Source organism: Homo sapiens, chromosome 1, assembly GCF_000001405.40.
Source record: "Homo sapiens chromosome 1, GRCh38.p14 Primary Assembly".
Taxonomy (NCBI): domain Eukaryota; kingdom Metazoa; phylum Chordata; class Mammalia; order Primates; family Hominidae; genus Homo; species Homo sapiens.
Genome location: NC_000001.11, coordinates 23,437,901 through 23,453,479, shown reverse-complemented (window position 1 = coordinate 23,453,479; position 15,579 = coordinate 23,437,901). Strand labels below are relative to the sequence as shown.

General features: G+C 48.6%; 1 protein-coding gene across 9 annotated transcripts in view, besides 1 other annotated feature; it reads left to right on the top strand.

Annotated features, from left to right (window-relative positions):
* Positions 1-15,579, top strand: part of ASAP3 (ArfGAP with SH3 domain, ankyrin repeat and PH domain 3) — a 56,069-nt gene that overhangs the window by 31,152 nt on the left and 9,338 nt on the right. For 5 of the 9 annotated variants that reach the window (XM_017001687.1, XM_047424481.1, XM_017001688.3 and 2 more), the window contains exons 4-12: positions 709-783; positions 1,952-2,001; positions 10,868-10,979; positions 11,209-11,294; positions 11,750-11,825; positions 12,007-12,093; positions 12,269-12,378; positions 14,250-14,319; positions 14,646-14,733. In XM_017001687.1, coding sequence (XP_016857176.1) covers positions 709-783; positions 1,952-2,001; positions 10,868-10,979; positions 11,209-11,294; positions 11,750-11,825; positions 12,007-12,093; positions 12,269-12,378; positions 14,250-14,319; positions 14,646-14,733 — 754 coding nt within the window. Of the gene's footprint in view, positions 1-708; positions 784-1,951; positions 2,002-10,844; positions 10,980-11,208; positions 11,295-11,749; positions 11,826-12,006; positions 12,094-12,262; positions 12,379-14,249; positions 14,320-14,645; positions 14,734-15,579 lie in introns of all 9 variants that reach the window. The other 4 variants (XM_017001689.2, XM_017001686.3, XM_011541755.3 and 1 more) reach the window with 2 other exon arrangements.
* Positions 8,990-9,284: a silencer, noted in NCBI's record as "tiled region #12987; K562 Repressive DNase matched - State 8:EnhW". NCBI's record gives its function as "represses a minimal TATA promoter and a strong SV40 promoter by Sharpr-MPRA in K562 cells {active_cell/tissue: K562}" and the evidence as "EXISTENCE:reporter gene assay evidence [ECO:0000049][PMID:27701403]".

Genomic DNA, 15,579 nt, shown 5'->3' with positions numbered 1-15,579 from the left:
GCAGGCCCAGATGCCCATCTTACCAAAATAAAGATGGTCTTTCTCCCACAACTTAGGCAGAAAAATCCCAGCGAGGATTGTGATTGGCTGGCTTGGGTGCGTGCCTGTTCCCTATCCAGTCCCTCTATCCTGGGGCTGGGGTGCCCTGCTCAGATCTGACTTCTGCGTTTACCCCATCTGACCACAGAGGAGGAGTTCCCCACAGGAAAGGGGGTTCTATGACCATTAATAGGGGAGGCTCTGAAGCGTTAGCCAGCCCAGAACAACAGACGTGCACTACAGGTCAACTTGAGAGAGTCAGAGAGGAGAAGGGAGGCTGCTCCTGGCGAGGAACAGGGGAGAGATTGACTGTGGGATGCTGCTGGAGCAGTGCAGCGATGAGGCTGGAGCCATCAGGGAAGGGGCTCACTCTGACACACCTCGGCCTCCCCTCCTGCCCCCTTTCACACAGGAAGCCTGGCGGGCAGCAGGTCAGCCATCCTAAGCAGACCCCAGAGCTGGATCCTCTAGTCCCCCCCCGCAGGCTCAGCACTCCTGCCATGACGGTCCCCCTTACTTGGCTGTCATCTCTTTGATAACATCTTTTCCTCTCCCCTACTTCCCTTCCCCGCTGCTCTCTTTGCCAAGTGATGCTTCACTGTACACCGAATCCCTAGGGGCTGGATGCCGGTCACCTGAGGCGGGAATGAGCGTCTCTGTTTTTTCCAGATTCAGAACTTGAACAACATTGTCTCTTTCCCCCTGGACAGTCTGATGAAGGGGCAGCTGAGGGACGGTCGACAGGTGAGTCTCCATGCTGGGAGTGGTGGTGGGACAGAGTAAAAGAGGGGTGGGCAGGAGACTGTTGGGGGGCAGGGCTGGACTGAGGGTGGAGGCCAGGTGAAGGGGCTGTCTTAGCGGGAGTGATGAGCCTGGGGAGGTCTGGAGGACCTGGCTCGGGTCAGCCTAGGATGGCTGACCTGCTGTCTGCCAGGCCCCTTGTGTGAAACATGTCATGTAAATCTTACAACCATCCTATGAGGTAGGCTTTGTGGGTACACTCATCCCCATTTTGCAGTTGAAATTCGAGGCCAAGGGAGTTAGGTAACCTGCTGATGGTTTACATAACTAGGAAGTAGAGAGCCCATGTGGGAATCCAGGGATCCTGAATCCCATACTCGAGCTGCTTTCTCTGTGCCTGGCAGCCCTTGGCTGGATGCAGAGTGGAGCTCAAAGAAGGTGACAGAATAATCTCTCTGGGCAATCTGCCCCAGACGGCCCAGGGGAGGAGCCGTGCTCCCCCAAGAGGGTTCCCTCCCTGCCCTAGGCTGCCAGCGTGGCACCAGCCTGCTAACCACACAAACCAGACAGGCAGCTTTTTCACCTTGGGAGTCTCGGGGTTGTTCAGAAGGGTGTGAGCAGCCTGGCTGGATGAGGCTTAGGCAAGCTAGGCAGGGGGTAGTCAGGTCTCCCTGGTTTGCTGTATGGCCTGGGGTAGACTTCTCAACCTCTCTGTGCATGTTCCTTGACCTGTACCCTTGCTCTAAGAGGATGATCTAGCACCAGGCAGGAGAAAATGCTGGGCTAAAGTTAGGCAGGGGGAATTTGGCCTTCATCCTCCCATCCTCATGGTCATGACTGATCTCTCTTCTGAGCAAGAGGACTCAGGGTAGAGCCCAAAGATCTCTTCACACCCCAAGCCATGGCCCACCAAACCTGACTGATTCTTGGCATCTCTGGGGAGGAGAAGGTCTGCTGGGAGGAGGGCCTTAGCTCTGAGAAATGGGGTCAGCTGAGCCTGTTTGGTGGGGGCAGGTTTGCAGCAGGACTGTGGGGGCAGGGGCTGGTTAGAGAAGGGCTCTGAGCAGCTCAGGGGAGCACACTAGCAGGTCCTCCTACAGGCAGCAGAGCATACTGTTTATTCCAGTGCTCCAGCTTCCCTCTGGGCAAATTGTCCTTTTTTAACCCACAGGATTCCAAAAAACAGCTGGAGAAGGCATGGAAGGACTATGAAGCCAAAATGTAAGTGGCCACAGCCAGGGTCGTTTGTCTGGGAGAGTAGCACTTAGGCTGGATAGGGAAGAACCTAAATGCTGCCGAGACATGTCATCCAGAATTGGGTGACATCTGGCTCTGTAGAGGCATTTACAGCAGATTGTTTATACCCAGACCTGACTGGATTCTGGGGACTGGGCCACGAGACCACCAAAGGAGCTATTGTGAAGGGACCTCAGGATGCTGCTCTCAGAGTCCCATCTGCTCAGTGGTGCCAGACATGGGCAGGGATGGGAAGGAGCTAGCACTGACCAAACACCTCCGCGTGCTGGCCATTTAATCTTCACAGTCACCCTGTCATGTGTGAGAGAGGTATTAGTATCACAATTACCACAGGAGGACTCAGAGAGGTTAAGTCACTTGCCCAAGGCCCCACAGCTTGGCAGAGGCAGAACTGGGGTTTATGCCCCTTGCTCCTCGTTCCTCAGTGTCAGTTGGTATATCTAGAGAAGGAAATGGCTTTCTGTGTCCTGTGCACACCACACGATACTCCAGATCTCTCACCAGCTACTGGGACATCATGGGGAAAGAAGGAGCCTCAGTCAACCAGTGGCCAATTCCTCCTGGGCAGAGACTCCTTGGGCTCTGTCTTATGAGGAGTCTGTCCAGATCCCAGCCTTTGCCCTCTGCCCAGCCAGGCCCATACTGTAGAGCATTGTTTGTGCTTTTTTGTAAAATTTTGTTTTCTCTTGCATTTTGCCAAAGCAATTTATGCTTATTATGAATAATTTTGAAAATATGGAGAAGTAAAAGAAGAAAAAAAATTAATCATCCTTAGCAGAGGCTTAGGGTTATGGCAGGCGGATAATACTCTCTGTTGTTTGAATTTTTTTTTTTACAAGGTCTGGGTAACATTGCAGTTTTCATCATTAAAAAAAAAAGGTTGGATGGGGAGAAACTACCCAAAAATAGGAGAAAAATTCTTAATTTTCAAGCCTAAAATATTAACATTTTAACATTTATTTTTCTATGTATGAAGAAATGTTTTTATAAAAATGAGATCATAACAACATACTGTTTTGTAATCTGCTTTTTTCATTCAAAAAATACATTGTGGCCATCTTTGTACACCATTACATATTCTTCCACATCAATCAAACGGGTGTGCCAAAACCTGCATAAGCCATTATGTATTTAATCTGTTCCTGTCATTGGAGAAGCATCCTTGGATTTAAATATTTGTCCCTACTCATAATTATTTTTGCAGGATCAATTTCAAGAAGTAGATCCTGGAGCTTTTTATTGTTCCCTCAGCTCCCAGAGCCATGGCACCGCTCCAAGTCTGAGGCAAGGTCACATCTTGTCCCTGCACAAGCATCTCCAGCCCCAGCTGTGGGCATAGATCCTGTGATGAAGGGTGTAGACACTGTGTGGCCATCCCTGTGGGGCCCTATCCCTGCCTGTGATGGGGCACGGCCATCTGCTCTCACTGGAGGCCCAGGGACGGGTAGTGAGGGCACAGGCTGACCTTGTCTTCATGATTTGCTGTGGGGCCACATGGCCCTCTTCTTCCTGAGTTACCTTAACTAAGCCGTTAGACTTTCGGGGATCGTCTACCAAATAGAAATAATAAGCTCTACTCTGCTGACCTTCCCAAAGCAGGTCTGCTTTTCCTAGGTTTCTATATTGAGCCTTCCTGTAGCATTTCATTTACAGGCCAGACTCCATTTAGTTGATGGGAAAGGGGGCTTGGCTGAGGTTATTCGGTGAGTTATCGATAGGACCTGGACTAGAACCCAGGGCTTCTGAGTCTAGTGCTATTTCTGCCATGTGGTCTCCTGGCTCCCACCATGGAGCCACATAGTTTGAGCTAATGTCTTGGCACGGGTGACTGTACACTCCTTTTCATACGGGCTCCAGGTGTAGCCAGATATGCGTGAGCCGTAAGTTCCTATGTAATTTCACCACATTCCTACCAAACAAGTCTGAGCCCCAGCTGGAAGGGCCCAGGGCCCTGATAGCATCTGTCAAATACCACTGGGAGCTTCACCCCTGGCTGTTCATATAGGAGGAGGATTACCTCTCCACGTGGGGCTGCTGAGAAAGGCATCCCGGGCCCTGTACAGAGGCCAAATTTATCTAGGCAGTTCCATGTACAGGTCTGTTTCCTCATCTGTACAATAGGGACAGTAATACCTTTCAGGGTCAATGCGGCGATGAATAAGCACGGTGCATATAAAGCACTCAGCACTTCAGTTCAGCAAGTATTTATTGACCACCTATATGAGCCAGAACTAGGACCAGAATAACACAGGAAGAGATTGACAGGCAGAAACCCACACATCTGCTGGTAGCATTTACCCTAGCCAGCTTTTAATCTTGTGCAAGCCATTTTCCTTCTCTGGATCTCAGCTTCATCATCTGTAAAATGGTCCCTGTTCTGAGAGAGACTGTTATCTCTCAGAAAATAAACAGTGTGACTGTCAGCAGCTCGCAGGAATGAGGCAGGGAAGGAGGAATGGAACAAACCTGAGTCACAGTGTTGGTTGCTTGGGCTGCCCCTAAGGCTTAGGCACCAGCCAGTCCTGGGTTCAACTCCTGGCCCCACCACTTAACAGCTGTGTGACTTGGACAAATGACTTATCTCAGCCATAGGCTCCTCTTCTATAAAATGGGATAATGATCCTGCCTTATGGGGCTATAATTTTAACATATGAAGGGCCTAGCAGAGTGCCTGGGCCTAAAAATTATAACTAGGAGCCTGTAATCCTAGCACTTTGGGAGGCCAAGACAGGAGGATCACTTGGGCTCAGGAGTTCGAAACCAGCCTGGGCAACATAGTGAGACCTTGCCTCTATTTAAAAAATTGATAATAATAATACATATATAATAAATATAATACATATATTTAGAAGCCACACATGGTGGCTAATGACTGTAATCTCAGCTACTTGGGAGGCTGAGGCAGGAGGATTGCTTAAGGCCAGGAAATTTGAGACCAGCTTGGGAGACAGAGCTAGACCTTGTCTCTAAAAAAGAATAATAATAATAATTAGTAATAATAGCAGCTTCTACTTTAGAGTTTCCTTTGTGCCAGGCAGTGGAGTAAGGTCTTTGCATCTATTACCAGATTTATTCTCCCTGGCAGGGAAAGCTGCTATTGTTATTCCCAATTTATAGGTAAGTAGTGAGGAATCCCTGCCACCTAAGCGTGGCTCAAGGTTTCAAGGTTGGTGGGTGTGTGGTATTTAAATACTTTCCTGCCTGCACCAGGAGTACCTGTACCCATCCCATGAATAACACTGGACTGTTGCTGTAGTCTCCTTCTGCAATGATCTCGGTCTTAGTAACTAGCATTTAAGTACTTTCACCCACTATTTCATTTCATTCCTTCTATTGCAATTCCACTCATAAGACAGAAAAATGTTTCTAACATTTGAAATGTTTTAGAAATGTTTTAAAAATGTTGGTGATCCTTTGAGGATAGGGAAGGAATGGGACTTGTTATTTTATAGGGGAAGAAAAGCACTCCCCAGCTATTAGGTCATCTCAGAATGACTATGTCAGACTTTGTAGGGAAAATCTCTATGAATTATCTTAGCTGAGGCTGAGGGACAGAACTGTGATAATTGACAAAGCCATTTTGTCACAGCTGTGTACATTTTGTCAAAGCTGAAGTACATTGACAAAGTTGTGTACTTCACGGCTTATCTACACCTTGAGTTAAGTAGCATCTTTTAATCTCTACTAGCATTCAAAAAATAAAAGAAAGAAAGAAGAAAGTACCATATGCTGAAAAAAATTATCTAAAAGGGATCACCAGTATTTACTACTCTGTCATCATTGCCATCACTTGAATCATCATAATCCTACCATTCATTGAGGGCTTGCCATATGCCAGGAACTGTACTGTTTCCTATGCATTATATTATCCAAGGACTAGGTGTCATTACAGTGGTTCCCCCTTATCCTTGGGGGATACGTTCCGAGACCCCCAGTGGATGCTTGAAACTGAAGATGATACTGAACCTTACATTAGGTTGGTGCAAAAGTAATTCCGGCAGTTTTTGGCATTAAAATGTAATCTGTGCTTTTTCCTATATATACGTACCTATGATAAAAATTAAGCACAGTAAGAGATGAACAATAATAGTAATAAAACAGAACATAGTAGCATCACTACTCTTGCACTCTGGGGCCATTATGAAGTAAACTAAGGGTTACTTGAACACAAGCACTGCAATAGTAAAACAGCTAATCTGATAACCAAGAAGGCTACTGAATGACTAATGGCAGGTGGTATAGACCAGGGGTCCTCAACCCCTGGGCCATGGACTGGTACAGGTCCAAGGCCTGTTAGGAACCTGGACTGAACAGCAGGAGGTGAGCGTTGGCAGGCGAGCGAGATTACCGCCTGAGTTCCGCCTCCTGTCAGATCAGCATGGCATTAGATTTTCATAGAAGCACGAACCCTATTGTGAGCTTCACATGCCAGGGATCTAGGTTGCATGCTCCTTATGAGAATCTAAGCCTGATGATCTGAGCTGGAACAGTTCCATCCCAAAACCACCCTCCCCCACCCTGCTATCCGTGGAAATATTGTCTTCCATGAAACCAGTCCCTGGTGCCAAGATGTTGGAGACTGCTGGATAGACAGTGTAAATACACTGAACAAAAGGATGATTGATGTTCCAGGCAGGATGGAGCAGAAGGATGCAGGATTTCACATGCCACTCATAATGATGCATAATTTAAAACTTACAAATTGGGCTGGGCATGGTGGCTCATGCCTGTAATTCCAGCACTTTGGGAGGCCGAGGCAGGCAGATCACCTGAGGTCAGGAGTTCGAGACCAGCCTGAAACACATTGTGAAACCCCGGCTCTACTAAAAATACGAAAATTAGCTGGGTGTGGTTGTGGGCGCCTGTAATCCCAGCTACTTGGGAGGCTGAGGCAGGAGAATCGCTTGAACCTGGGAGGCAGAGGTTGCAGTGAGCTGAGATGGCGCCATGGCACTCTAGCCTGGGTGACAAGCAAAACTCCATCTCAAAAAAAAAAAAAAAAAGACAAAAAAACTTATGAATTGTTTATTTCTGGAATTTTCCATTTAATATTTTTGGACAGGGGTTGACCATGAATAACTGAAACCACAGAAAGCAAAACTACAGAGAAGGGGGGACTACAGTATTATTCTCATTTTCCAAATGGGGAAACAAGCTCAGAAAGTTTTATAAAGGTTAAGTAAGTGAAGGAGCTGCCATTCAAATCCAGAATCTACATTTCTAACCACTGTACTGTATTGTGGTTTGCTTTTTGTCCATTTACTCTGGAGCAGATATATTTCCATGTCAGTACAGTCATCCCTCATTATCCATGGGGGATTGGTTCCAGGACCCCCGCAGATACCAAAATCTGAGGATGCTAAAGCCCCTTAGTCAGCTGCCTATATCCTCAGGCTTTACACCCACAGATATGGAGGGCCAATCACATGTACAGATATTCCTTCTTCTTTTTTTTTTTTCTTGAGACAGAGTCTACTCTGTTGCCCAGGCTGGGGTGCAGTGGTGCAATCATGGCTCACTGCAGCCTTGAACTCCTGGGCTCAAGTGATCCTCCTACCTCAGCCTCCCATGTCGCTGGGACTTACAGGACCATGCTACCATGCCTGGATAATGGTTTAAAATTTTGTTTTAAAGTAGAAACGGGGTCTTGCTATGTTGCCTAGGCTGGTCTTGAACTCCTGGCCTCAAATGATCCTCCCACCTCAGCCTCCCAAAGCACTTGGATTACAGGCATGAGCCACTGCACCTGGCCAATCTTCATTCTAACAGCTGCATGATATTTCTATATATCGCCATACTATTATTTGTCTAACTACTTCCTACTGATGGACATTTAGCTTATTTTCCATTTTTGACTATTGAAAGATATGGTAACAGTGTACACTGGGAGACTTCCCCTACGCCAGCCCACCTGATGTCACTTGGTCTCCCTCATTCCTTTTTTTTTTTGGAGAGACAGGGTCTTGCTCTGTCACCCAGGCTGGAGTGCAGTGGCACAATCACAGCTCACTGCAGCCTTGACTTCTTGGGCTCAAGGGATCCTCCTACCTCAACCTTTTGAGTAGCTGGGACTATAGGCACACACCACCATGCCTGGATCATTTTTAAATTTTTCTGTAGAGACAGGGTTTCACCATGATGCCCGAGCTGGTTTCGAACTTCTGGGCTCAAGCAATCCTCTCACCTTGGCCTCACAAAGTGCTGGGATTACAAGCATAAGCTTCCACGCCCAGCCCTCCCTAATTCCATAGCAAGCTGCCAGGCACTGCTGCTGAGATGCTGCAGGCCCAGCCATCACCTCCCCTCTCTGCTGCTTTTTTTCAGATTCACAAAGAAGTCTGTCCTGACCCTCAGGCCTGGTTCACAGGATCAGTTCCTACCCTACTTCTACCACTCTTTACAAACTCTTGCTTGGGGTATCAGAAAGCTTAAGGAAATAAAAAATAACCCCCTCTTTAAAATTAAAAAAAAAAAAAAAAGCCTACAGAGCCTGCAATGTCTGGAGACATTTCTGGTTGTCACAGCTGGGGGGATGCTACTGGCAGCTAGTGGGTGGAGGTCAGGGAGGCTGCTAAACATACAAACCACCAGGCAGCCCCCCATAACAAAGAATCATCTGGCCAAAAATGTTATCAGTTCCATGGTTGAGAAACTGCTCTACAGGTCCCCAGGGACAGATTCTGTATATGAACACTATCCCAGAGGTCTTACCTACTCAGGAGGGCCCAGAACTTTAGAGTCAGAAGGGACCTGAGAACTTACCGTAGACCATTGCTTCCTCCATTTACAGATGGGAAAACAGAGGCCTTGAGGGGCCTACAGTAAAAGCTGCCATGTGTCTTCTATGTGCTGAGTCTTTTCCATGCTGTGCCTCATCTGGGTACAGATAAGAATCTCCGTTTTCCAGATGAGGAGACCAAGGCTCAGAGAGGGGAATAAATGCAGCCAGCAAGCAGCAGAGTTTGTATTAATCCCACTCTGTCTTTGTCTTCTCTGCTCAGGGCTGGCCCCCACTTGAGAGCAGAACTATTAAGCAAGCCCTTTCCTTTACATGGGATTTGGAGTCACATGCACCCAGCCTGAGATGTGGAAATACTCTCCTGGCTGTGAGTGGGTAGTCTGCTGGGCGTGGGATTTCCAGGAAACCATTTACACACAGATCCACCCATCCCCAAAGAGGGAAAACAGCCAACCTCTGAGGGGGAAGGCCCCAGTTACTCTTAGCTACAAGGATGGGAAGCGCTTTCTGTCTCCACTTAAAAAGAGAAGAGCACGGTGGGGCGTGGTGGCTCATGCCTGTAATTTCAGCACTTTCAGAGGCTGAGGTGGACAGATCACTTGAGGCCCGAGTTCAAAGACCAGCCTGGCCAACATGGTGAAACTCCGTCTCTACTAAAAATACAAAAGTTAGCTGGGTGTTGGCCAGGCACGGTGGCTCATGCCTGTAATCCCAGCACTTTGGGAGGCTGAGGTGGGTGGATCACCTGAGGTCAGGAGATCAAGACCATCCTGGCTAACACGGTGAAACCCCATCTCTACTAAAAATACAAAAAAATTAGCCAGGCATGGTGACACCCACCTGTACTCCCACCTACTCGGGAGGCTGAGGCAGGAGAATCGCTTGAACCCAGGAGGCCGAGGTTGCAGTGAGCCAAGATCATGCCGTTGCAGTGAGCCAAGATCGTACCACTGCACTCCAGCCTGGGCAACAGAGCGAGACTCCGTCTGAAAAAAAAAAAAAAAGATTAGCTGGGCATGGAGGTGGGCACCTGTAATCCCAGCTACTCAGGAGGCTGAGGCATGAGAATGGCTTGAACCTGGGAGGTGGAGGTTGCAGTGAGCTGAGATCGCACCACTGCACTAAAAAAAAGAAAAAGAAAGAAAAAGAAAATAAAAGAACAAAGGTTTTCTGAGCTTTAAGTATGAAGCTCCATGGGCTCAGAAGAATGAAAGCACTTTGAAATAACTCAGAAACAGAAAGTCAAACACTGCATGTTCTTTCTCCCTTATAAGTAGGGGGGTAAGCAATGGGTACATGTGGACAGACAGAGCAGAATAGTAGACATTGGAGACTTCAAAAGGTGGGAGGATAGGTGAGAGATGAAAAATTACCTATTGGGTACCATGTACACTATTCGGGTGATGGGTACTCTAAAAGCCCAGGCTTCACCACTGCACAGTATATCCACGAAACAAAACTGCACTTGTACCCCCTGAATCTATAAAATTAATACAAATAAAAAAGATTGAAGGCACCTGTGTTCTTAAATCCTTTCCAGGAAAATCAGAACTGTTTGCCCCAAATCTCACTTGGCCCTTGTTTGAGTCCTTCATCCCCCTGAATAAACACCTTCAAATCCTTCCCATTACTCTTGGGATAAAGACCAAGAATATATTAACATGGTGTGAATTAGACCCTGCATGGTCTGGCACCTCCTTACCTTAGCTGGCACCAGCCCTCTCCATCTTGGCACTCGCTCCTGCCTTGGGGCCATCACATGGTCCATCCCTCTTGCCCAGCAGTAGCTTCCTCCAAGCTTCTCAGGCTTCAGATCCCAGCTCAGACATCACTTCCCAACTAGCCCCAACGAGGTTGGATCCCCATTTTCTCTCCCATAGTTCTCTGCGTGGCTGTGATTTGATTCATGTCTTTCTCCCCCACCACTCTGTGGATTCCCTAAACTGTCTTGTTCATTGTACCCAGCCCCACCACACAGCTGGCACAGGAGGGCCTCCTGCACCATGTGGCCCCTTTGCTCATGCATCCTTGGCAGAAGAGGATATAGGGGCTGGTGAGACTTGTTCAGGCTTCTCTTTCCTTGGGGTCTAGGGCCAAGCTGGAGAAGGAGCGCGATCGGGCCAGGGTGACAGGAGGGATCCCTGGGGAGGTGGCCCAGGACATGCAGAGAGAGCGGCGCATCTTCCAGCTGCACATGTGTGAGGTAAGGGGTGCTCTGGATGAGGGAGGGGGGGCGTGGGATGTGTCTTCCTGTCTGCCTCTCCAGGGGACCAGTCACAGCCTCAGCTCAGGTCCTGGCCACATGGCCCTGTGGGATGTCACCAAGGCCCAGTCGCAGCCAGGAGGATTAGCCTGGGATGGGGACTGCAGCCCCTCGTTCCCAGGATTCTGCTTCAGCTCACATCACGTATCTTGCCCTGCCCTCCTCCTAGTATCTGCTCAAAGCCGGGGAGAGCCAGATGAAGCAAGGTCCTGACTTCCTTCAGAGCCTCATCAAGTTCTTCCACGCCCAGCACAAGTAGGTATCTTCCCGCGTCCCTGCCACTAACCCTTCCAGTGTCACAGAACAAGGCCCCTCTCAAGGTGTGATAGACCTGAGAGTCTCTTTGGAGGCCTGCATCTTTTTGGCAGAACTTTCATAGTTCCTCATTGAGTGCTCACCGGGTGTCAGGCATGAGTACTTTACAAACATCAATTCGCTCAATTCCCCAACACTTCTGGGAGCAGGTACTCTATTATCCCCATTTTATAGATGAGAAAACTGAGGCTTATTTTCCAAGATTACATAGCTAGTAAGTGGGATTTGAACCTAGTCAAGAGAGACTCTTGTCTATGGAGTGTCTGTTCTTGACCGTCAGACTACAATTCCCTGAGGTGCCCTGTGATCCTTACGGCAGCTTCTCCCACACTTCTGGCTTCATCTCTCATTTCCATCTTTATCTGGACCCTTGTTTGGCCTCTGACACCTCTTAGCTTTTTCCAAGATGGCTGGAAGGCTGCCCAGAGCCTGTTCCCCTTCATCGAGAAGCTGGCGGCCTCAGTACATGCAGTAAGTTGGGTCTCACCCTTGGGCACGTGATCAAGCCCCCTGTCCTTCCAGGAAAATCTGTGGGTGTGGAAGAGCTGGCTTCTGCCCACAGAGTGAGGCTACTGCTCTGCTCTTCTGGGTCTGGGCTCTGTGCCTGACATATTTGTTGGCTGGTGATGGGATCCCATCCTCTGTCCCATAGCTCCATCAGGCCCAGGAGGACGAGCTACAGAAGCTGACCCAGCTCCGGGACTCCCTCCGAGGGACACTGCAGCTTGAGAGCAGAGAGGTCAGCCCCTGAACTATCCCAAAAGGAATGCCCTCCCCCAAGGCCCACCGTGGAGGGAGGGAGAGAAGGAAGACCCACAGGGTCCCCTGGAGAAGTCTCCCTGAGTGAGCCCCCGCAGAATGGGGCTCTTCCCACTGAGATGCCCTGAGGTCTCCTTTGCATGTCCGAGGGACAGGAACACCTGAGCCGGAAGAACTCAGGATGTGGCTATAGCATCCACCAGCACCAAGGCAACAAGCAGTTTGGGACGGAGAAAGTGGGCTTTCTATACAAGAAAAGTGACGGGTAAGTGATTCAGAGCTTACATAATTTGCCCAATGTCACACTGCAAGTAAATGACAGGGTTGGGGAAGCTGCCCAAAGGAACTGTTCTAATCATTTGTGTAGACACCGAGGGTTGCAATGTAAAATCCTCAATTCCTGGGTTGTCCAGGACACCTGGGCATGTGAACTTCTGCTAAAGGTGACTGGTTATTTTAAGTTAAAGAAGAAGAATAGCAGTAGCTAACACTTTTTTTTTTTTTTTTTTTTGAGATAGAGTCTCACTCTGTCGCCCAGGCTGGAGTGCAGTGCCATGATCTCGGCTCACTGTAAGCTCCGCCTTCCGGGTCATGTCATTCTCCTGCCTCAGCCTCCCGAGTAGCTGGGACTACAGGCACTCGCCACCACACTCGGCTAATTTTTTTGTATTTTTAGTAGAGACGGGGTTTCACTATGTTAGCCAGGATGGTCTCGATCTCCTGACCTTGTGATCCGCCCGCCTCAGCCTCCCAAAGTGCTGGGATTACAGGCATGAGCCACCGCGCCCGGCTGGCAGTAGCTAACACTTATTGCAACACTTACTATGCCCTCATTCTTTTTTTTTTTTTTTTTTTTTTTTTTTTTTGAGATGGAGTCTCCCTCCGTCACCCAGGCTGGAGTGCAGTGACGTGATCTCAGCTCACTGCAACCTCCGCCTCCTGGGTTCAAGCGATTCTCCTGCCTCAGCCTCCCGAGTAGCTGGGACTACAGGTGCCCGCCACTACGCCCAGCTAATTTTTTGTATTTTTAGTAGAGACGGGGTTTCACCGTGTTAGCCAGGATGGTCTCAATCTTCTGACCTTGTGATCTGCCAGCCTCAGCCTCCCAAAGTGCTGGGATTACAGGCGTGAGCCACTGCGCCCAGCCTATGCCCTAATTAATCTCTGCAATATACTGAATATGCCTAGAAATGAAAGTATTGGCTGTGCCTTGCTTCCTAGTGTAAAAAAAAAAAAAAAAATCAGTCTGTGGGCCAGGTGCAGTGGCTCACACCTGTAATCCCAGCACTTTGGGAGGCCAAGGCAGGCAGATCACTTGAGGCCAGGAGTTCAAGACCAGCCCAGCCAACATAGTGAAACCCCATCTCTACTAAAAATACAAAAAATTAGCTGGGTATGGTGGCGTGAGCCTGTAGTCCCAGCTGCTTGGGAGGCTGAGGCATGAGAATTGCTTGAACCTGGGAGGCAGGGATTGCAATGAGCCGAGATCGTGCCACTGTATTCCAGCCTGGGTGACAGAGAAAGATCCTGTCTCAAAACAAAACAAAACAAAAAAACAAAACTGCTGTGAAATGCAAAGGCCCTTGTGGGATATATTCATGTTTCTACCTACCAATCAGTTTAATCGGAGAAGAATAACTTTGAAGAAGAAACCAATGAATATTTACCTGTTACAGGAGAAGTGTTACGGAGTTTTGGATCATGGACTTGCTAATTTTATTTTGGGGATATTAATATTGATCTTGCTTAGTTGAACCACAATTTATTTGTTGTTGTCAAGAGCCTGTGCCTCTCAGACTAGGAGCTCCCTAATGATATAAGCTATGTCTCCCCCATCAGACTGGGAGCTCTCAGAGGGCCAAAGTCACATCATCCCCTTAGAATAAGGATTCCCAGGGAGTGAGGCTGTGTTTCTCCATCAGACTGGCATCTTCCTAAGAGCAGAACTGTGTCTCCTCCATCAGAAGGGAGCCCCAGAGAGTCAGGGGTCAGGGGTGGGGGTGTAGGGTTAGGAGAAGAAAGAGGTAAAGGGATGTGGCTAGAGATCATACAGGTGGGGGCAAATTTCTGTTCTCTGACACCTGCGAACTAGGTGTGAGCCTTGGGTCACTGTCCTTCTATCCCTCTGGGCTTTAGAATTCGAAGAGTCTGGCAGAAAAGGAAGTGTGGAGTCAAGTATGGCTGCCTGACCATCTCACACAGCACGGTGAGGCCTAGAGGTGGTGGGAGTCTCAGGGCACGATGGACCCTCTTCTTCTGGTGTTCTGAGCAAATAATGTCAAGCCCTCCCTCTAAGACTGGCCCCCAAACCTAGGTCCAGGGAGCTGGAGACCCGTTTGGGAGGACAGATGGGACCTGAAGGCCCCAATCTAGTCTTAGTCTACACTTCACATCCTTGAGGTGCTGCTGGGTGAGGAGAAACACAAATGGAACAGGATGATTATGCCCATTTAACAGAGTGGGAAATGGAGGCCTAAAGAATGTGGAGGGCCAGAGGTAATGCATACATCCTCCGCCCCTAAATTCCCACAGATAAACCGGCCCCCGGTGAAGCTGACCCTGCTGACGTGCCAAGTGAGGCCAAACCCTGAGGAGAAAAAGTGCTTCGACCTGGTGACCCGTGAGTGGTCCCTGTGCCTCTCCCCCACCCACAGCTGCTCAGGGCTTCTCTAAGACACCTGTCAGCTCCCGGGGGGCTTCAGTGAGGGGTCTGTGTCCAGTTCCACACATGGTGTCGAATTGCTGCTACTGCAGACATAAGAATCCTTAGGTCTAGGATACCCACATCACATTAAATGTCAAAATGCACCCACTTTACATAATAAATGTGGCTATTTATACAGAGCATATTTGAGTGGATTTGGGTCATCTGGGTTTTGAAATTATTTCTTTTTTTAAAATTTTACCTTTTTTTCCCAAATACCCAGACTTGAAGGAGATGAAATTATTGTTTCTTTACATTTTCTACTTTTCGTTCTTCAGAGCCTTTGGTGCAGGCTTTGTGTGAGAGCAGACACAGGCTGAGAAAGACCTAGATCTTGTCCTCAGGAAACTCTCTGGCAGGGGTGTGGGGTGGGTACCCAGGACTGTAAGATGAGGGGGCTGTCCAGAAGATGGGTGCAGATATAGCCCCATAGAAGATTAGGGAGCAGGAAGGCCTGCACTGCTGTGGGGAATCAGGAAAGGCTCCTGGAGGAGACAGTATTTGAGTTTAGCCTTGAAGGACATGTAGAATGAAGAGTTTGTGGGGTGGGGGCTTTTGAGGAGACAGGATTAGCATGATGAAAGGCATGGAAGCAGGAGAGTGGGTCTGGCCGGTTTGGCCAGAGTGGAGGGTTCATGTAGCAGAGTGAGAGATGAGGCCTGGAAATCCCTCTTAAAAGTTTGGACCTTATTTCCTGGCAATAGAGAGCCATGGGAGATCTTGGGGCAGGGCAGTGGTGTAATTAGAGCAGAGCCTTGGGCA